Here is a 15,217-nt window from a genome sequence, read left to right on the forward strand (position 1 = left end):
TATATATATTAATATACATGCAAATTAATACATCATTATATATTATTATATATCATATAAACATGCTGTATACATGGTACATATGCAGTAACTATATATGTATATATAAACAGACGTTAGGGTAGATATTCATTCACTCTTTCCCCAACGTGTGGGCTGCAAGGACAGAGAGGGTGGGCTATCCTGGGAAGGTCCCGGGCTTACTGCAGAAGGGGACAGCATTTCCACTGGGCCATAGTGACCCCAGGGACCATAGCTGCACCCCACCATCACTCACCCCTGATGGGTGACTCCACTCTTGGGAAATCCTTCTTAACCTGATACTTGAGGCAAAAATCTGACACTAGCATCAGAAGTCAAAGCAAGGCTCATGTTCTTGGCAGCCCTGAAATTAATAGGAGTAAGTGTCAGTGGGCCGTAACTATTCTGCTGTAAGGACAGCCTCTCTGTGATCATGTATATTTCCACAGGGCTTTTGTTCCCACGATTTCTCCCCAGATGGCTCTGTAAGCAGCTTGGTAACTACCCCCATTTGAGACTGGAACTCAGAGGAGTTAAGTAATTTGCCTAACTATACTGAGTAAGTGGATTGAATCAAGAATCAAGACCTTAATTCACGTGTTTAACACACTCGGCTAAATAAGAAACTCCCTCTTGAACATAACAACCAGTTGCTGGTCTCAAAAAACTGAAGCTGGACTTCAGGGGAGCCAGAATGGGGAGGAGCTGAGGAATCTGAGGTGGTCGGATTCAAGACTTGCAGCCCAGCCTTCATTTTCCTCATTTGTAAACAGGGATCGATGGTAATGGTTCTCAGCTTTGAAAAATTATGATGCCTGAGATCTACCCCCACAGATTGTGATTGAAGTGGTTCTGTGGCCTTGGCATTGAGGTTTTTAAAACTCCCAGGCGACTCCAATGTGCAGCCAGGACTGAGAACCGCTGCTGTGAGGGTGAAGATCACCCATGTACAACATCTGGTCAGAAGAGGCATTTAATAAAAATTGCTTCCCTTTCCCCATCTCTCACTCTACTGGCTAAGAGAAGCTTTAGCATCTCCAAAGAGTGAGTGGTGGGGATCAGCCCAGCACAAAACCTGGGTCTCTTTTCCCATGACTGTACCTTGGGGTCCCAGGTCACTCTTGTTCAACTTAGCTCAAGGTTCAAGTGCTTCCAGAAGGACTGCAGATAGTGGCCAGTCTTCACGGGTGACCCACGATTGTCTTGCACCACAATCAGGAACTACAGGTTGTTAAAAAGACCACGGATCGGCCAGGTGCAGTGGCTCATGCCTGTAATCCCAGCACTTTGGGAGGCCAAGGCGGATGGATTGCCTGAGGTCAGGAGTTCGAAACCAGCCTAATCAATATGGTGAAACCCCATCTCTACTAAAAATACAAAAATTAGCTTGGTGTGGTGGCGCACCCCTGTAATCCTAGCTACTCGGGAGGCTGAGGCAGGAGAACTGTTTGAACCCAGGAGGCGGAGGTTGCAGTGAGCCGAGATTGTTGCACTGCACTCCAGCCTGGGTGACAGAGTGACACTCGGTCTCAAAAAAAAAAAAAAAAAAAAGAAACAAGACCATGGATCAGTATCCTCGGGGGGCCATAGGGAGCAAAATGCAGCATGATTCCTGCAGTAATATTTGAATCCTCAGGGAAAACTTCCACCTGGTCAAGGGGGTCAGAAGCTGTATTTAGTCCTTAAAAAAAATTGACAATTACTGTCATCTTTTTTAGTCAATCTTCCATAAATAAGTTCTTGATAAGTTATTATAAGTTATTTAGCAATTAAAAGCAAGACTATTCTATTCTGACCCACTTCAAAAACAGCAGCGTCTTTCCCCACTTCCATTACTGACATCACCCAAGGGAATTAGGCTTCAGACTCTAAGGTTTCTATCCTGGCTGCAGCTTAGAATCACCTGGAGTGCTTTTAAAAAGCATCATGCCTGGGCCCCACTCTGAGATAGTCTGATTCAATTGGTCTAAAGAGGAACTTCAGCATTGGTATTTTTAAAAAATCTTTAAATAGGAATATTTTTAAAAACTACTCCAGTAATTCTAATGTGCCAGCCAAGGATGAAAAATACTGTTCTAACCAGATCTCACATCCAATTTCCAGTCATCACTGGTGCTATGTAGCCTTCTCTTATCTCCTCTGTTAGGAGGGCACGACCTTAAACTGAATCAGTTTCCTTCCTATCTTACTGCTATTTTTCAGTTTCTAGGTTTGAAGCTCTGATCTATGACTTTCCACTCTCTCTTCCTCTAGGAGAGATGTTTGAATTTCAGAGAAACCTCTATCCTTGAGAAAGAAATGTTTTCAAAGCAAATGAAAATATAGGGTTGCAAGTGAAAATACAAAGTATGCCTTCTTGACTTAACCAAAAAGTTCCTGGGCAGATTTTAACAGGCAACTGATTGATTTAAGAAGCAGGATATTGTTGGGCACAGTGGTGCACACCTGTAATCCCAGAACTTTGGGAGGCCGAGGCAGGAGGATCACTTGAGCCCAGGAGTTCAAGACCAGCCTGGGCAACACAGTGGGATCCCACTGCTACAAAAAATATATGTTTTTAATTAGCTTGGTATGGTGGCACATGCCTTTAGTCCCAGCTACTTGGGAAGCTAAGGTAGGAGTTTCACTTGAGCCCAGGATGTTGAGACTGTAGTGAGCCATGGTTGTGCCACTGCATTCCAGCCTGGGTGACAGAGTGAGACCCTGTCTCAAAAATAAAGCAAGATATTAAAGTTATATTCAAGATCAACCTTTAAAATACAAAAGATTTGAAATAGTACAAATAATGATAGCATATGTTATAACCTTTTTTTTTTTTTAAGACAGAGTCTCGCACTGTCATGCAGGCTGGAGTGCAGTGGCACAATCTCCCCTCACTGCAAGCTACACCTCCTGGGTTCAAGCGATTCTCCTGCCTCAGCCTCCCAAGTAGCTGGGATTACAGGCACACATCACCACGCCTGCCTAATTTTTTGTATATTTAGTAGATGGGATTTCACTATGTTGGCCAGGCTGATCTTGAACTCCTGACCTTCTGATCCACCCGCCTTGGCCTCCCAAAGTGCTGGGATTACAAGTGTGAGCCACCGCGCTGGGCCTATATTTTTAATTTAATTAATTTATCTTAAAAGCAAATTAGGACTGGTGAATATGCTTTTATAATCCTTCTTTCATTTGTGTAAGAGACAACCAGAAAGTTAGTGTATCTACTCAGGTCTGTTCATCTTCATTGATCCCAGGTCTTTGCAACATGCAGAGCATCCATTGAATTGAGAAATTTTATCTGTATTTCTTAAGAGGTTTCCCCCATCCTTGCCCAGGAAAGTTATGTCCAGAATCACCACATACAGCTGCACAAGTATGCACTGAACAGCTTGAGGAGTTCCATTCATATTGTAGTCTTTATGAGTGGCAACCCTTTTAGTTCAGTATCATTTGAGTTTTAGCACCTGCATTGCTCTTCGTTCAGCATTTTTTATGAGCAAATAAACTCTCACTCACTTGGAGGTCCTGGGCTGTGACCTAGGCAAAAGCTGGACAAGATCTTTTCAAGGTGGAGGCCTGACGTCTCCAATTCAGACAACCACGTGATGCTTTGCAACTATCTCTACTCCCCTGGCCTTTATCAGGGGCTCTCAGTTATTTTCTCTCCCAAGTTAGAGATATTGCTGGAGGGCCTTGTTCAGGAACAAACCAGCCCTTTTGGTTATAGTAGTGGGAAGAGGACCCTGAGAATCCTGATGCTCCCCAGAGTCCCTGCTCAGTGATGATGAGTGAGCCCTGGGTAGCTGTAGCAGCAATGCTAAGGAGGTGCTGACAGTCCAGGACTCCAGTGTCTCTCTCCCTCCACGTGGGGCAGAAGCCAACTTCCAGTCTCATTTCCTGACTCCTCCATCTCTTCCACTCTGTCTCCCCAACACCCAGGTTGGGCAAGTCACCTCACTTGTTTTCTTTCTGTTCTTTCTTTCTTTCTTTTCTGTTTTGTTTTTACATCTCAAACATGTTAAAGAATTCACATGTTTTCTCACCTGTAAATGGCATAGTGACGTCTTGCCACCTGGCCATTGGAAGGATAATGAAGGAGAACATGTGTGAGTCAGCACTTGGCTCACAGGAGGTTCTTGAGAGTTACTGGTTTCCTCCCTTTCCTCTCTTTCCCTATGAAGCCTGCCCATTGCCCAAAGCCCTTCCCTCCCTCCACTTGCAAGCTCCTTATCCAGGATCCATCACTCTGCATTCACAGCAGGGCCCAGCCCAACTCCTCTATCAGTTCCAGAAGGCATGAGATGTCCTAATTGCCCTTCTCAGAAAGAGGTGGGCCATGCAGGGCCAGAACGGCCCTTCCAGCCAGAACAAGAGGAGATGAGACAGCACAGGCCAAAACAGCTAATAAGAAAGCCCCACACCGGACACCTGGCCTTCTGCCTGCTGCTGAAGATGCTGACTCAGCCTCTCCAAACTACCCTGACTGCAAACACAGGTTTTCTGACTTTCAGGATTGTGGCCCTTCTTTCCCTCCTCATCTGTAAATCCAGGGCCGTGAAAAAAAAAATTCTGAGCCCCGGAATTTGTTCCTTCAGTCCCCGCAGCCTTCTCAGATTTTGTGCCCTGGTCAAACACAGAAAGAAAGCAACGCTCCCCCTCACCCCAACTTGGGCAGCCTGGGAGCAGGTTTTATGCGACCAGCCTCTGAGACAACTGGATACCCCCCAGCCTGACCTCCGCTGGGGTGTCTTTCCTTTCCTGCCCTTTCTCCCATGGGCAGCCAGAGGCCCCAGGGTTGATGTTTTACTCTTCTCCCCAGAGGCCACTCCTGTTCCCTGCTCTGTACAACTGCTTTAGCACCTACATTTGCTTAATTCCCCTTGCCCAGTGCTTCCCATCTCCCATAATGACGCTAATGGATAAAAGAGAACAGGCAGGAGAGCCGCCCCCAGCTTCCGCCCTGCCGACTGGCCTGACCTATTGCTGCTACTGCTGCTGCTGGGAATCCTGGGGCATGCTGGGAATCCAAGTGCATGCTGGGATTTCAGTCTGTTCCTCCATGCATTTTGGGTTTGCTTGGAACAGTTCCAACTTGGAACTGTTGGTTCTAGTCTATGGTGTGCCCCCCCGAGATGAAGTTAAAGACTTCATGGGAAGAAAGAGATGCCCAACAACTGGAGATTAGGGCCTTCGTGGATGAGCAAGATGCCTGAGAGCTGGGGATTTTCAGGCCACCTGTTGCACAAATCCGCCTCTGGCCTAGAAGATGTCTACTATGCACCAGCGTAAGGACTCAGAGGAAACCGCCTTTACCATCTCATCAGAAGGTTGACTTTAAGGTCTGGTCTGCTCTTATGGGAGGCAAGAACTAAGTCTTGGCACATGTTTAGGACTCTGAGATCCTATTCCCACCACAGGGCTTCGCTGTCCTGCAGAGCCCACCTACAGACATGTCACTGGATCTGGAAGGCTGTGTGAACACAGCTGCACATACTGAGGCTCAGTATCTTCAAACCAATGTCATGGTGCCCCATAGCCAGTGGAACCCACTCACTGCAGAATTTTACTGATCTCCTGGCAAGAGGAGCTTCATAATAGCATTTATCATGTTCCCAGGGGAGGAAACCAAGTTGGGGGATAAAACAGCAGGAACCTTTGAAGTACAAATATGAAGAAAGCAGAAGAGATCCCCCAGGTCTTCTGGTTTCTCAGCAAGATGCAGAAAGACCAGATGAGGAGATTTAGTTCTCACCTTGGCTAATTCATGAAAATTTGAGGCAATGGCCAATGACTTACCAATTCAAGTACCACAAAGAAGTTTGATCAGAAAGGATATCTCAGGACCAGAAGAACAGAAGAGAAGAGCCTATCTGAAAAGAGGCAGAGGATGGGGATGTGCCTGTATCCCAGACTGGTGCCAGTGCTGTTGTGCGACCACTTGCTAACCACCTCTGTAGCTCCGAACGCTTGTCTCCCACTGGCCAGGATGGAGTCCCTCTAGAACTTGTGTCTCCCTGGAGATAGCCACCTTCTGGGGCCTTAAGCTGAAAGGAGATTATATGGGGAAATGTTGGACAGGGTTTCCATCCCTCTCCCGAGAGAAAGATTCAGGCTTCATTTTTATAAGAGATTCTAAAATAATATCTACTGAAGACAAAGATGTCTGCAGCCCAAGAACTCTGATGGGTCTCACGCAAACATCCCATGCTGCCATTTTCATATGGATCTACACTCTTCAGACCATTTCGAGGTCATTCATTCTAGCCCCACACAGCCTTGCCCTCTTTCTCTGGGTCATAACTACAAAGGAAGCCAGGAAAAGAAAGACCTCTAACCAAGCTTCAGGAACTTGACTTCAGTTTCCTTGCTCACCACCACGTTCATAACCACTTCAGAATCCATGGTCTCTCAAAATATTCACAAGAGAAGGCATCTTGGAGGAACTCTATGTTCCCCGTCAGAAAAGACATTTGGCTTTAGACCTATCAGATCTCTTCAAACCACTGGGAAATCTGGCTCCAGTGCTCCAAGTTTACCAATCAAGAATCACACACGCCCAAGAAAACCCTTGTCTGGATCTTTGCTTCAGCACTCCAAGATGGCAGCAGCAGCAGCAGCAGCAGCAACAGTTCTCAGGAAAACCAGCCAGTTCCCTCCCAGGGGTCTGGAGAGCAGCAGGACTGGCCACTCAAAAGGAGGCCACAGTGCTTGTGAGGCTGGAGTTGCCGGCAGGAGTCCTAATGGTGGCCCTTGGTTTCTTGCAGACATTGATGAGTGCCTCTCAAGCCCTTGTCTGAATGGAGCCACCTGCGTGGATGCCATCGACTCTTTCACATGCTTATGCCTTCCCAGCTACGAAGGGGACCTGTGTGAGATTGGTACGGCCGTCTTGGCTTCAGCTAATGTTACTAACTGCTGCACCCCCTCCTCCTCCCTCACCTTTCCCTCCTAACAACAGGCTCCAGGCCCTGGCTGGGGCCCCCGAGGTTCATCTGGAGAGCCATTTCAGGGGCCACAACTGAAAATTCTGCCCCACTGATTCCCACTCTTTTTCTTGCTCTCCTCCTTGAAAACCCTTTTCTGGAGCACTGGCTGATCTGACTTTCTCCAGGGCTTCCAGATCTACTGATGCCACCACCGAGGTTGGTGTATGGTTCAGACTAAGAGGACAGGGCTGATTCTGAGCACTTGTCTTGAAGGAAGCTATGGGGTGGGAGTAATTGGTTCTCATTCCAGATGACAGCCACGGATCTTCTCAGTGTGGTCATGGGCATGGGACCTTTGTGGTTCCTTCATGGCCCTGGGAGCCACTGTGCCACATTGGCCAAGCTGCCTTTCTCTTCTCCTGGGGCAAGAGCTGTGGTTGGTCTGCCTGAGATCTCCCGTGTCATCAGCATGCTCAAGTCATGCATGAGCAAGGACTGCTGCATGTCACCTTCTTCTCATCACTATTGTGACAGCTGCCATGGCAATGCCATGCCAGCCTATGCTTCCTTTCTCCCTCCCTTGTGCAAGGCAAAGGGTGGCCAGAGAGAACAGAACTGTGTTACAAGGGGGAGGACTGAGTTACCTCTCTTGGGCCTTGCCAACCTCTCCATTTCTGCACCACTTCTACCAAAAGGAGCTGTGCACCAGGAACCCTCCCAGGGACAGACTGAACCCTCAGCTCTCTCACCTTTGGTGCTTCCTAGTCTCCCCACCAGCCGCCTGGATCTCGGGGATTTCCCAGCTCAGAAAAGGGGAGATGAGACCTTTGGATACTTGTCTCAGTGGCCCAGACAGAACTGGAAGTGTGTAGGGGCTTAAAATCCTTTTCAATGAACTCTCAAGTTGGATACCCAGAAACTTCCAGAAGGCAGGTGAAACTCCTGGGAAGTCTCCCTTTGGTCCTAAGCAGTGTGAGGAGGTAGTTTTGGGTTTCATATTCCTTTGAGGCACTGCCAAGGTTACAGACTGGTAGAGGAACTTAAGACTTTTGGGAAAAAAAAGGCCTGGACACTCCTACTCCCTTGCAGCCTCCCACCCTCCATCCTCACCCCAAGACCCCAAGAAATTGGTATATGGGGTCTTGGCTGGGGTGGAAGCAGAGACTACAAGGATTTTCTCCCCATGATACCACAACATTTGCCACAGGGTAGAAGAGTCTGGGACTTCCATGCCGACAACAGCTATTTGGTTCCAGACTGGAAAAGTGGGCTCTGCTGGAATGGAGGCAGGACCCTCACAGGGCTCTGTACCCTGATGGGGCAGAGAGATGGTGACAGAGCCACCCAGCTCGGCCCTGGGCCTGGGGGCCCAGCTAAGCAGGGCTGCATCTCCTCTCCCATTCCAATCCTGAGTCCTCACCACTCCACGGTGCCTCCTGCCTTGGCTCTGTCCCTGTTACCTCTTTCAGTCTGGAATTGTTTCTGTTTCCTAAGAATCTTCAGCCTGCACAGCCCTGCCCTCCCATACCCACCTCCCAGAGAAGTTGCACCCTCCAGCTCTGCCTGCCCAGCTCAGCCCTTAGCCACTGAAGGGGCCAAAAACTGACCCCCTAAGTCAGCCCTAAGATGATATCTCTGGCCTCTTCAGAGTGCTGAGCTAGTCTGAGGCCTCTCCACCTCTTTCCAGACTGCAGCCTCACCCCTTGGGGAAGGCATTCATAGCTGAGGCACCAGAGGCCTCCACGGCCCCTCCTACAGCTCTGTTCTTTCTTCTCAAGCTGCTGACCCCCTGTTCTGCTCTCCCTCCACTGTCCCCAACTGTCTCTCCCCCACTTTGCCAAGCATCCACCCCTTCAGCCTAAGACTCCTTCCCCTCGGGTACTGGTCCTTCCATTCCAGGACAGCCAGAGTATGGTGGCACCCAATCAGGGAGACCACCATGCAGCCTGAGGGGTTTGTGACCCTCCACCTGGGAGATCCCAGGGGAAGAAGGAAGAAGGGGGGCCTTGGAATTCACTCTGTCCCACACTGTGCTGGCAGATGTTTAACAACCAGCTCTCATAGAGGAGAAAGGAGCCCTGATTGTAGCATCTGCCAATTCCTGAGGTGTAAATGCTTCCACCGGGGCCAGTTTAAAGCTATCAACATGATGTCACTGAAGGCGAGGTTGAGAGGAGACACTAACAATGAGCTCTCTCAAAGCTGAGTGAGCCAGCTCAGCATGGCTCCGCCTGTCCCCTAGGCTGTCCAAGAACTCCAAGCCAGCCCCTTCTCCAGACTGAGAACCCATTACGAATTTAGGTTTGTGAGGAGAGAAGCTCCTCCCCTCTTCCCATTCACCCCCAAAATAAAAAGCCAGGGCCCCTGGATCCCAGACCCCCAATGGGCTATCTGACCCCTGCAAGAGGCAGGCACAGTGTGCTTAACTAAAGCCAACTCTGATCAACAGCCTTAGAGCTCTGAGTCTTCTCCAGACCCCAAGCAGACTTATTTCTGCTCCTCTGTTCCCACCTGAGGTTCTGCAGGAAGGAAACTGCCAGCTCCGCTCCATGCCCCAGCGCTACCAGCTTCCACTGCCTCCACACACTTCCCCACAGCTCCACTCCCTCTCTCCCTGGAGCCCCCCAGAGCCACAGAACCATGTTTTGCCTTAAATCTCAAGACCTCTCACCTTCCCACCTCTTTTGAACTGGACTGCTGACCTCTGCCGGCCCAGCAGAGCAGGCATCAAGAGGAGGAAAGCTTGGGAGAGGGTGAGGGGGGAGGGCGTGGCATCAGGGAAGGAAAGGGCCCCTGGCATTTTCCCGAGTGGAAGCATGTGCAGAGGCTCCCAGGGACCAGACCAGTTTCCAACCTGAACTCCTCCAGCTGTGCCTCTCCCTTCCCTTGAGGGCACAGCATGGAAGGTGGGGTGAACGCAGGAACCTATGCCATAAGACTGGCAGCATCTGCCATCCCCTGGTGGCCTCTGCCCCTCCCTTCAAGCCCCTGACCTGTGTTGCAGACCAGGAGGTATGTGAGGAGGGCTGGAACAAGTACCAGGGCCACTGTTACCGCCACTTCCCGGACCGCGAGACCTGGGTGGATGCTGAGCGCCGGTGTCGGGAGCAGCAGTCACACCTGAGCAGCATCGTCACCCCCGAGGAGCAGGAGTTTGTCAACAGTGAGTGCGGCGGGGCCTCTGGAGCCTGAGAGGAGAGTGGCGGTGTAGGCAAAGGGCCTCACCTTTCAGAAGGCAGCAGATTTGGGCCTCGTGAGACTGCAGGACAGGGACCTGGGGGAGGGGGAACAGTGTTCCCACAGTCTGAGCTCCCAGAGAGAAGACAACGGTCTTTGGGGCCAGAAGCTGTGGCTGCAGCCAGGGCAGACCCATTGCCAGCCAGAGTCAGCCCAAGACTAAGCTATGGCTGTCACCCGTCCATGCCAGCTTGGAGAGGTGGCCCGAAGTGCACTCCAGGCATGCACGTGCTGAGCCTCTTGTGAGGACCTGAGAAGCACGTGCCTTGCTCCTAGGAGCCCACCCACCTCCTTTCCTCCTCCATCCCCTCTGCCTCCGTGAGCTCAAGTTTCTCAGACACCCTCAGGGTGTCCAGTGTGATGCCTGACACCCTCACCCTTTCCCCAGACAATGCCCAAGACTACCAGTGGATCGGCCTGAACGACAGGACCATCGAAGGGGACTTCCGCTGGTCAGATGGACACCCCATGGTGAGTTCTGCTGTAGGCACAGCTGGTGGCCCAGGGGACAGGGAGTGGGATAGAGACCCCTGGAGAGAGATGCATTCAAACCCCATGCAGACAGCCGCTTACCAGCTGCTGGACCGGGAACCCTTGAGGGCAGGGATTATCTCCTTCATCTCTGCCTCTGGAACCCAGCCCGGGGCTGGACAGATTGAGCTAATGATGGCAAGAGGCAAGGAGCCAGGAAGGAAATGAAGGAATAACAGCCACCACCATGAGGAGTATACGGAAGCTTTAGAGAGGTTTCTTGCCCACACTGAACTCGAGTCTACTCAAGGAGACAGACAGAAAGCAACATAGATGCCAAGTGAATGGTACGGGCACCCAGTGATTCTCTTTGTCCTGAAGCAAGGCTGGAAGGATAAGTCTTGGGAGGACTTCTTGGTGGGCAGAAGCTGGACTTAAGAGCTGTGTTCCTACCATCCATCCCTACCCAATGTGGTCAGCCCTGGTTGGCCCTTCTGGATAAGAGGTGTGGAATCAGCTCATGTACAGAGCCTGTGAGTCTTGGGGGTTCTGAGCTCCTGAGAAGGACCTGAGCCAAGCTGTGTGACTGATTCCCTAGAGGGCCACCGGGTTCCATGGCCCCTAGAACAGCCCTGATCAGATTCCCAGCAGTTTTTGTGCTGCTATCAGATGAGCCTGAAGTTGGTGCTAAAAGAGAAAGGAGATGATGAAGAGGCTCCACGGGGAAGACAGTCGGAGCAGGCCAACCCGCACTGTCCTGCCCTCTCCTTACTCCTTCCCCACTCCCACCCACAGCAATTTGAGAACTGGCGCCCCAACCAGCCTGACAACTTTTTTGCCGCTGGAGAGGACTGTGTGGTGATGATCTGGCACGAGAAGGGCGAGTGGAATGATGTTCCCTGCAATTACCACCTCCCCTTCACGTGTAAAAAGGGCACAGGTAAGCTGGCGCCTGGGAGGGGTCAGGGGAGGATAGGATCAAGACCTCCAGCTACAGGTGAGGCTCTTGCTGTGTGGCCTGGGGTGAGTCCCTTGTCTTCTGGCTGCTGGTGTCTCCTCACTTGTCCAAAAGGCAGACTGGAGCTGACCTAGGGGTCCCTCCTAGCACCGGCATCCCAGGGCCAATGGCAAGGGCAAGCTCGCTGCCAGGGACCGTTTGCAGGGACAGCAAGCACATGAAGGTCACAGGCTAGAAGACAGGACCCCCACTCCACACTCCACACAGTCCCTTGGATAGCAGCAGCAGAGTTACCCACAAGGGCCCCCAGATGGGGAGCCTCCCTGTCTTTGGGATTCCCAAGGCCATCAATCACAGAGTCATAGTTGTCAGGCCTCGATCCTTTGGCTTTCAGTCTGTGGACATTGAGGTGCTGGTAGGATGCGCCCCACTGCCCCTGCTCACCACCTTGCGTCCCCCAGGCCTCCTTTCAGTCTCATTTTCCCCTGAACTAGATGTTTTCATCAAGAAGCCTGAGTCTGCCTGGCTCTCGCCCTCCACACCTTTCTACCTCCCTTTCATCTTCTCTTCATCCCTTTAAAGACCACCCCGTTTGTATTCCCTTCCTGCTGTTCTAAATTGTTGAGGAACCCAGATGTTACAGCCAGCGGCTTCCAGATTCTTAGCGCTGCATGAAAACGTCCAGGGCTCACTGTCAGATGTTGAGGCTGTGTCCCCCACAGTGCCTCGGGTCACAACCAGCATAGGTCATCCCAGGAGACCCTATGAGACCCTTTATAAAGGGTGTTTGCCCCTCAGTGGCCTGCGGAGAGCCCCCTGTGGTGGAGCATGCCAGGACCTTCGGGCAGAAGAAGGACCGGTATGAGATCAATTCCCTGGTGCGGTACCAGTGCACAGAGGGGTTTGTCCAGCGCCACATGCCCACCATCCGGTGCCAGCCCAGCGGGCACTGGGAGGAGCCTCAGATCACCTGCACAGACCGTGAGCATCACCCCGGCCATCTCGCTGAGCACAGGGTTAGATTCTGCCAGCACAGCCTTCCCCCCGTCCCCTCTCCTGGGGACCCTACACCGTCCACAGGGTTGAGCAAGGGAAGGGAGGTCGGGGGGCTGCTCAGTCACAAATAGCTGACCACTGCCCTTAGAAGGGCCACGTACTTGTCCCAGGAGAGGGCTCACTTGGAGGATGAAGGAGAAAAAGCCAGAAAGTCCAAGAAAAATCCAAATCAGGAAAGCCGATAAAGCCTCAGGCGCCTGAGTCCTGGTTTCCACAAGGGAGAGAGGGTAGTCTGGGGAGAGCCTGGGCTCGCCCCACTTTCTTTCCAGGTCCACTGATATCTTTCCATCTCCCTTTCGTCCTAGCCACCACCTACAAACGCAGACTACAGAAGCGGAGCTCACGGCACCCTCGGAGGAGCCGCCCCAGCACAGCCCACTGAGAAGAGCTTCCAGGACGCACCCAGGACGCTGAGCCCAGGAGCCTGCCAGGCTGACGTGCATCCCACCCAGACGGTGTCCTCTTCTTGTCGCTTTTTGTCATATAAGGAATCCCATTAAAGAAGGAAAAAAATAAATCCCACATTTGTGTATGCACCCACTCACCCCTCCAAATCAGCAAAACCGCATCTAATTTGTCCGCCGAATGCCAAAGCAAAGCAAACTTATTATAACCCTTGGACTGAGTTTAGAGACATTTCTTCAATTTCCCATCGTGCCTTTCCAGGGACCAGTGCAGGGACAGGGGGAGAAGGGGAGGGGTTAAGTTAAATAAAGAAGATTATTTTTGTTTCCTGACTTTATCCAAGAGCAGTGCAATCGTTGGTTATTTCACCTCCAGGGAGAGCTAGGGAGGAGGGAGGAGGGCTCCAAAGGAGCTGGAAGGAGCAGAGGCCTGAGAGCAGGAAGAACTCGGAACCGCAGCTGAATGTATTGGATGAGAAGGAGCCAGGAGGGCTACACCATCTGTATGAGGGAAAAGCCTTGGGGGAGAGGGGTGGGTTCCTGCCTCCTGCCGAGGGTAAGCCGGCAGGAGAGAGCCATCAGAGGGACCTCCGCTGCCTGGGAGTTGGGTTCCCTCCAAGGGTCCCTCTTTCAGTGTCCTCTCTCTCACCTGGGTCTGCCACCCTAACAGGTGGCAACTCGGCAGGGCTGCTGGGGGCACTTCCTGCCCAGTGGGGGGTGCCGCCCAACCTTCTCCCCTCCCCACCCCCGCCCCCGGGACCGTGCAGGCACCAGGGTTCCGTGCACCTATTTATATTTTTGAAAACTGAAGATTATAATATTATAATAATAATAAAGACATTGGAAGAGATCTATCTCTTTTCTTTTCCCTCTTTTAATTTAAGAAGAAGGCAATCATGACCCGGAGTCCCCCAAAGGGGTCTTAGGAATGGTGGCAGTGGAGACAGGTTTTGATCAAATGATCTCAAATTGGTGTGACTCTGTGACTCTGGTCTGTTCAGAGCGCCTAGGACAGTCACATCTGTCGTGCTTTATTTTTCCTAGGGTCCCAATGTGTTTGGTAGATGATCTGCATGTAAGCACATGTGATATGTCTCTACATGTGTGTACCTGGCTGTGCCTGTCACGTGTGACATGCGTCAGTCGGTGCCATATGGATTTACAAGTGGGCACTGTCAAAGAGCAACTCAAGCCAGACATCTGGTCACCTTGCATGCTTTGGTTCTTTGTGATCACACTGCTCTGGTGGGTTGGTAGACTGAATCCAAGAACAGAGGCAAAAATCAGGATTTATAAGAAGGGAAGGAAAAAACAAACTGCAGACAGTCTGAGAACAGTGAATCTTGCTTACACATTTTCAAGGTAAACTGCTTGCCAGCTACTAGCAAAAAGGTCTGGGCATCCTGCCCTTAAGTACACTATAGAGACCGGGCACAGTGGCTCACGCCTGGAATCCCAGCACTTTGGGAGGCTGAGGCCAGTGGATCACAAGGTCAAGAATTCAAGACCAGCCTGGCCAACATGGTGAAACCCTGTCTCTACTAAAAAAATACAAAAATTGGCCATGCATGGCAGCATGCACCTGTAATCCCAGCTACTCGGGAGGCTGAGGCAGGAGAATTGCTTGAACCCGGCAGGTGGAGGTTGCAGTGAGCCGTGAGCCAAGATCGCACCACTGCATTCCAGCCTGGGCAACAGAGCAAGACTCTGTCAAAAAAATAAAAAATAAATAAAAAATAAAAAAAGTACACTGTAGAATAGCAATGAAAACAATTCTAATTGTTTACGGATTCCCCTGACAAACCTTGAGAGTTGAGCCCACACACGCATGCCAGGCAGTATCCTTCCACCAGTGCCACCTCCTCAGACGCCTCCCTCGTCACAGTCGCTGGACACGCCATTGAGTCTGTGTGAATATGTGTGTGTGTTGGTTCTTGCAGGCCAGTGTGAGTTCCTGGGTCCTGGTATCTTTTCAGGCGTGGGCGTGTGTACAGCTGTTTGTTCGTATATATATACATACTTGCATCTCTACCTCTAGAAAGAACAGTGGGCCAAAGTAGAGTGTACAGCACTGGTCACATAGTAGGCGCTCAATCATTACTTCATTAACTGATTAGTTGGTGGTGCGACTGTCAGTGGTTTTCAAACTTGAACGTGCA

General features: G+C 50.9%; 1 protein-coding gene across 9 annotated transcripts in view; it reads left to right on the plus strand.

Annotated features, from left to right (window-relative positions):
• Nucleotides 1-13,908, plus strand: part of ACAN (aggrecan) — a 71,918-nt gene extending 58,010 nt beyond the window's left edge. For 3 of the 9 annotated variants that reach the window (XM_047432216.1, XM_047432215.1, XM_047432217.1), the window contains 4 exons: nucleotides 9,937-10,095; nucleotides 10,558-10,640; nucleotides 11,436-11,580; nucleotides 12,397-12,740. In XM_047432216.1, the coding sequence (XP_047288172.1) occupies nucleotides 9,937-10,095; nucleotides 10,558-10,640; nucleotides 11,436-11,580; nucleotides 12,397-12,725 (716 nt within the window). In that variant the 3' untranslated portion in view covers nucleotides 12,726-12,740. Of the gene's footprint in view, nucleotides 1-6,770; nucleotides 6,885-9,936; nucleotides 10,096-10,557; nucleotides 10,641-11,435; nucleotides 11,581-12,396; nucleotides 12,742-12,959 lie in introns of those variants that run through there. The other 6 variants (NM_001369268.1, NM_001411097.1, NM_013227.4 and 3 more) reach the window with 4 other exon arrangements.

Source organism: Homo sapiens, chromosome 15 (genome assembly GCF_000001405.40).
Source record: "Homo sapiens chromosome 15, GRCh38.p14 Primary Assembly".
NCBI classification, from domain to species: domain Eukaryota; kingdom Metazoa; phylum Chordata; class Mammalia; order Primates; family Hominidae; genus Homo; species Homo sapiens.